The sequence below is a fragment of the Homo sapiens genome, chromosome 9, assembly GCF_000001405.40.
Source record: "Homo sapiens chromosome 9, GRCh38.p14 Primary Assembly".
NCBI lineage: Eukaryota > Metazoa > Chordata > Mammalia > Primates > Hominidae > Homo > Homo sapiens.
In genome coordinates, this window is record NC_000009.12 from 87,823,408 (window position 1) to 87,830,821 (window position 7,414).

The 7,414-nt window shown below is 48.0% G+C and overlaps 1 pseudogene; it reads left to right on the plus strand.

The window, feature by feature from the left end:
* On the plus strand, positions 1,520-2,556 carry NPAP1P7 (nuclear pore associated protein 1 pseudogene 7; annotated as a pseudogene).

Sequence of the window (7,414 nt, forward strand, 5' to 3'; positions counted from 1 at the left end):
ACTTTGCTTTCCCCACCCAGTTGCTTATTCCTGTGGAGGTCTCTACCTGTGGGTTTCTGAGGCTGTAACTTGTGATTTTTAGTATTACTCTGTCTCTCCAATTATGGGGTCGTGGTTTGCTCCATGACTTCACTTGCCTGAGGGATCTAAGAAGAATCGTTGATTTTTCACGCATGTTTTCCTTGTCCAGACACCCAAGAGTATGTCCTTCTCTTGGGCATAAGATCTGAAATTATATTTAGGTGTTAATGTGTGGTGAAGAGTGGATCCAGCTGGCATGCTCACAATGACCAAATTGTGTTGATCATATTTTAATCCAATACATTGCTCCACTATTAACTTGCAAATAAATGACACATTTGCTTTCTAGACATATTCCAGGAAGGCCAAAGAAACTGGCTTCTTATCAATATGGAATAAGTCCCCTGGTGAATTTCTTTTAGGATAGACCAAAGCTGATCTAGAACATAATCTTTACATACTTGGATCCTTCCCACTAGACAAGAAAGAACATCTGGGCTGAAAGGCTCCATTAGAAGAGCAATGTGGGATGGTGCTATGCTGGCAACTGGTAGTCCCTGCCCTACATCTTTGTCGAGGACTGGAGCCCGGAGTGGGCCATGGTCAACTTACATGTTGAAGTGAAGACCTACTTCTAGGTGTGCATGTGCTTATTACAGATATGCCAGGTGCTAAGTACCGCAGGACTACAGTAAAAATAAGAATACATGCTGTATCCATGATCAGGAGGCACACAAGCCAGAGCGCCAGCTGTGGAATCGCACAGCCCGGGTTCAAAGCCTGGTTGGGCCATGAACACCTGAATGACCTGCAGAAAGGTCTTAGGTACATTTGTGAAAAGAAGTGGAGATCCCGCCTGCCAGGAAGGGATGTGGTAAGGGGCAGCATCCAGTCAGGTCAGGGCACCGCGTCCTCTCCTTGGAAACCTTCGTAGCGGGGCTGGTGGCCCCTAGTGGCCATGTAGAAGGTGGGCCTGGCTCCAGGCGGCATAGAGGCACTGGAGCAGCCGTGGGGTAGCCTGGTAGCATCCAGGTGGCCCCATGCTCGGCTTCCAGCAGGTTCTGGCCCTGTAACCCAGGGGACAGGGCCGGCCAATACAAGGCCACTGGGTGCCAAGGCAGCGCCCAGGCCAGGCGCCAGGCGGGAAGGGCTCTGACATGTCAGCCCGCATACCCCACAGCCCCACAGAGGGACCCATCCGAGGCCACACACCTGCCCCCAGCAGCAGGATGTCCCCAGGTGTTAGAGAGTCCTGCTGGGCCCGGCGGAGGCGGGCGTGGTGGGGGAGGGGCTCTCTCTTTTGCCCTTTTACCCCTCTGGTAGGCGCCCTAGGGCGGGGGTGCTGCCGCGCGCTTCGGCGCGCCTTGGTTCTGTCACCAGCCCCACTGGGGCCTCACAATCGCTCAGCCGTCCAGTGCGCGCCTGGAGAAAGAGAAGTGGGCGACTACGGAGCAGCGTCTCCATTACTGACCGTTTTCTCGCCATTGTACCCACACAACTTGCTCTAAATGGGCAATTTATTAAGTATATTTTGTCCCTGTTCCCGCCGCAGGCCCCTGCCGGACCGTCGCCCACAAGCTCCCATAGCCCGTGAGTCCTCTCAGCCTGGCCCGGCTCACCCTGTGGCGCCCACGTCTACCCCGGGCCCTTTCCGATTCCTCTTTAACCCTCAGCAGAGTCGCGGGCCTTCTCCAGTCAGCTTCTACAGCGCGCCTAGGAGACCGTGTCCTCTCCCGCCAGACACGGGCGCCCCCCTGGGGGTCCTGCCTGCTGTGGGCTGCGGGCTCCCCTCAAGGAAGAAACCCGTGCTGTCTAGTGGCAACTCCATGATGTTGGGACACCCCAGCTCGGTGAGGATCCCTCCTCCCAGCAGCAAGTTCACTCTCTAACTGCCTTCACCACGTGAGCAGGTGGCTGGGGCTAGGAAGCTGATTCCGATCCCAGCCAGGCCGCCGAATAAGACCAAGGTGAGGACCCAAGAAGAGCCCAGAGCAGTGATAGAGGAGGAGGGTCAGGTAGAGACCCAGGAGCAGGAGGACAAGAAAAGCCCCCTCTCTCGGCAGGACATCCGCTTCCAGGGCCCTGGAGACCCAGGGAGACCTCAGTTCCTTCAGGTGCAGTCCGGGGCCCCTAGAGGGAAATGTTTATCCCAATTGCTTGACAGAAAATAACTTGACTGACAAGGCCCAGGTGTCTCCAGTGGGTTCCTGCTGGGAAGGCCATGTTGTCCCCAGCTCACACAGCCCAGCTGGAGGGGTCCTTCCCCTTAAGAAGCCTGACCCATCTCCAACAGTGCTCCTTGATCCCGCCCGGGTCTGTTTCCTGCTGCCAGAGAAGGTGGCCCAGGAAGTGCAGGATAAAGACCACCTGCTCAGCTCCCCAGGCTTGCTGATGTTGGGGAAGAGCCTTCAGCTCTTGCATCAAGGAAATCTTTTCCACCCAGAGCTGCCAGCCACAGGTCCCGCAAATAAATTGTCAGTTACAACTTCTGCCGCTGGCCTCTACCCTACAATTAATTGATATGGGATAGAGCTGAGTTGCAGTTAGACCTTCCAGGAACAACGTTTACAGTCATATTTGATGAGTTCTGAGCAGAAGTTCTTATTCTGGATTTTGGGAATTCTCTGGGGGATTCTTGGGTAGACTTCAGGGCATCTGTAAACCCTCTAAACATGTAATGTGTATGTAACATGTATGTTTATCTGCATTTTTCTGGGAAGTGTGTTGATAAATTTCATTAGATTCCTTATGGGGTCTATGATCCCTAATCAGATGCTGAAGCTAAAAGTCAGACGCAGCCTGTGGCAAATAAAACACACAGATGGCTCATGGTGAATGATGGGTGTGAGGCCAGAGGGGAAGGACAGTAAGAAACACCAGTCACATAATTTCGGCCTTCTCCTTCAAACCTACCACAGCCTGGAGGCTCACTCAAAGGAAACAGAGCTGGTTTCTCTTCCCCTGCCCACCACACAGACTTGCCAAGGAGCAGCAGTGCAGTAGCCAAACAGCAGGCATGAGAGGAGAGAGCTCCTCCTGCTCCCTGACTGGATGCACAGCCAGTGGACAAAGGAGAATTCCCTTGCCCTGAGGGCTCTTCTTGTTGCCTGGGTACATGAAGATTTCTCTGTAGACCAAGATGTGGTGCATATCCACCACCATAGAGCTCACATACCTGACCCCATAGGGAGCACTGCTGTCCTACAAGGCAGAAAGAGAAGAGACAAAATTCAGTGGCCTTCATGATTAGTCAGTACCTGCTCTGGGGTCACACATCCAGTTGGGGTGACCTCTACATTCCTGACCCCCTATCCTCCACCCACTAGTGTAGAAATTGAAAAGATTATACAATTGTGCATTTCATTCATTATGAGCCCCTCAAATGTCGACATGTGGTTGGACTTATTAAATGTAGGACTACTTAAAGTAAGAGACAATATCCTGTAGCAATCTTAAGAGAGCAGCTAAACAAATAAAGAGAAAGAAAGAAAAGAAGAAAGAAAGAAAGAAAGAAAGAAAGAAAGAAAGAAAGAAAGAAAGAAAGAAAGAAAGGGAAAGGAAAGGAAGAAAGAAAGGGAAAGGAAAGGAAGAAAGAGAAAGAAAGAAAAAGAAAAGAAAGAGAGAAAGAAAAGAAAGAAAGAAAGAGAAAGATAGAAAGAAAGTCTATATGAACAACTGTTGTTTGGTAGCTCCTTGAAGCTCCTGCTTGAATCACTATGGTTCACAATAGTTTTAGCTTTCTGAGAAGCAGACTTCCTTAAATAATGACTACTCTTCTCTTACTGCATGCAGTGTTTATACGTGGCAAAATCTTAAACACCTTTAGCAATTATTTAAAGAAATAAAACAATTTATTTGTAAACTGCGATTTCACTACTCACACATGTAATAAAAAGGATGTTTGACCAGAGAGAAATATGTCAAAGGTCATGATGTTCCTTAGAGTAGGTATAAGAGGTAAGTCATGACAATATGATTACGTTGCTCCCTGAGGCAGGTTTGGTTTTCCCCATTCAGTGATCCATCTATGATTTCTTTCTCTAATCTGATAATTCTCTGACAGTGCACAGGGAGACAGCAAATTCCTTAGGGCAGCCATCAAGTGTTTTGTGTTCCAAAAATATTTGGGGTTAACTCAGCATGGTATCAGTCATGAGTAATGACAAACAAAGTAAGCTTCAAAACTAGTACTTTGGCAAAATAACCTTTCCAGGCTTTAAAGACCTGAACACAACTAGACTGAGTAATGGATCAAGAACGGAGTAAATGCCAGTAAGATCAAATGTGAACTGATGTCCTCTCAAGGTGTTTTGGTTAGAAACTGTGTGTGTGTGTGTGTGTGTGTGTGTTACCAACAAATCATTAAAATAAGTTAAGATGGAAACCAAGCCTGGGAAATCTCTGAACAAAGCCAATGAGGCCTCCTAAGGGACCTCAACCTTCCTTGATTTATAGACATAAGTGAAACATAACTTGAAGTATTTCTTGTAAATGCCTACACAATACTACAGCACTTGGTCCCTGTAGGCTTATCGCACACTGAATTATTCTTTTTTTGTTGTAATGTCTTGCCACTCCAACCAGACTGCAGCTTCCTGGAGATGGGACCATGTTCCTTATTTGCCAGGTGTTGAGTAAATATCCTGCCTTTCCTCTTGTTATGATGGAAGTGGTGTCCGACTCCTACCTAAAGCCCATCCTCTTCTTGTCTTCTTGACCACGGGGTGGTCCATGAGACAGGGCCAGTCCGACCTGAGCACCCCTCAGTCTCCTGGTCTCTCCTGGGGCCCCAGCCTGGCCATGCCTGCTTGCAATGCAGCCTTGGGTGCCCACAGAGGGTACCTCCTAGGGCCCCACATCATAGCTCCTGTGCTGGCAGACCATACCTGACCAGCAGAGAGCTCCAGCAGAGTAGCCCCACAGACATACACCAACCTGCTAATGCCCTCCCCACATTGCAGTCTCCCCTGTGCTGCTTTGCCTGCACACACTTGCCCAAGCCACCCCCCATATGGCTTTGCCAGAGCATATGTGTATGGGTAGACCTTGCCCCCACTAATGCCCCACCCCTGTGCCAAGCTACCACCAGCCTGAAACTAGGCATGGAGAATAATGGACACACATCCACCCTGAGTGGTCACTGCCACCCAGAGGAACACACACAGAGGACACACACACTCCTGCACCCACCAGCACCCCACCCACATGCTAACACCATCACCAGTGCAAACACATGTAAGACGCCAGCTGGGGTGCCCTTCCTCCTGACACCATGCTGCCTCTGCCACTGCTGTGAACACCTGCACAGAGGCCGGCAACCTAGCACCCACTAGCACCCCACCACAGTGGACAAGCATGCACCCCGCCACAGCGCCACTGCCACTGCTGTGGCACATGCAAACGAGGACAGATTCCACTGCCACCACCCTATGAAGCGCTTTGGCTGGCACCACCCATACAAGTGTTGTGACCAGCTATCTGGGAGAACCCCCATATCTCCAGCACAGTGGATTCCTAACCTCAAGGAGACAGGGAACAAAGTCAGCCCAGTAGAAGTCCAGAATTAGAGCATGCAGTCCAGAAGTTGGGAGCTGAGCTTTGACCCCCTAAAATCTTCCAGAAACAAAGCCAGTCCACTGAACCCACCTTGTACCACAATCAAACCCTCAAGGTTATCAAATAGGATAAAAGAAAAAAAACCCATCCAAAGGACAGAACTTCAAAGACTGAAGGAACATCAGCCCACACAGATGAGAATGAATGCAAGAAAGTTGACAGCTCAGAAAGCCTGTGTGCCTTCTTTCCGCCAGATGACTGCATTACCTCTCCAGCAAGGGTTCTGAACTGGGCTGAGATGACTGAAATGACAGAAATAGAATTCAGAATACAAACAGGAAGGAAGATCATCGAGATTAAGGAGAATGTTGAAACCTAATCCAAGGATGCTAAGAATCACAACAAAACAATACAGGAGCTGACAGACTAAATAGCCAGTATGAAAAGGAATGTAATCAACCTGATAGAGCTGAAAAACACACTAATCGCAATCGCAAGTATTAATAGCACAATAGATGAAGCTGAGGAAAGAATCTTAGAGCTTGAAGACTGGCTTTCTGAAATAAGAGAGTCAGACAAGAATAAAGAAAAAAAGAATAAAAAGGAATGAAAAAAAAACCTCTGAGAAATAGAGATTATGTAAAAAGACCCAATCTATGACTCATTAATGTCTCTGAAAGAGATGGAGAGAATGGTGGAAAACATATTTCAGGTTATCACCCATGAGAACTTCACCAACTGAGCTAGAGAGGCCAATAGAAAATTCAGGAAATGCAGGGAACCCTAGTAAGATACTTCACAAGAAGATCATCCACAAGACACATAATCATCAGATTCTCCAAGCTTGAAATGAAAGAAAAAATGTTAAAAGCAGCTAGAGAGAAGGGTCAAGTCACCTACAATGGGAAGCCCATCAAACTAACAATGGACCTCTCAGCAGAGGTCCATTTCCCATGAGTCACAGGGAATGATCAACATTCTTAAAAGAAACTCCAACCAAGACTTTCATATCTAGCCAAACTAAACTTCATCGGCAAAGGAGAATAAGATCCTTTGCAGAAAAGCAAATACTGAGGGAATTCATTACCACTATACCTGTCATCTCTAGGAACTCTGATTTTATAGATCACATCTGGCATTGCACCAGGTGGAATTTGTGAAAAATGTAAGGAACTATTACTGCTAATTAGGCAAGCCTAATGCTCTAACAATTGTCAAAAACAAATATGAGAACACAAAATACCAAACCCCTGAAGCCGTGTTTTCTCATTCGTTTCCTCCCTCCATTCCCCTTCCAGCAGATTCCTGAAAACAGCCTGATACATATTCCTCTTCCCTTCCAGATACAGAATTGTGTGTTCTTCATCTGGGCTTTTGTCCTGCCCATACCCAGCAGGCACACAGCCCATAAAGCAGGAAAAGGAACCAAGGTGAAGGAGGCAGAAACTCTGCAGCCAGCAAGGAGGAGGTGCTATCTCCCTGCAGGTTAGGCAGCCCTAAGCCCTGCAACCCTAGTGTGTGGGAGGTGAGGGTTCTTCCCCATTTGATTGTTTCCAAGCAGGGTCATGTCGTGGTTAACGGTATGGGTTGGCAGCCAGAATGCTTGGGTTTGAATCCTGGCTCAGCCACTTACCTTGGATAAGTAATTGAACCCCTCTGTGCCTTATCTTCCCCATCTGTACCTGCCTCCAAGAGTTGTTATGAGAATAAAGGAGTTAATACGTGTAAAACACTTAAAACAGGGCTTACCACATATTAATCACCCAGTAAATGTTAACTATTATTATTAAATCCAACTCATAGTTACAATGAAGATCATTATATTATACTGTCCTCT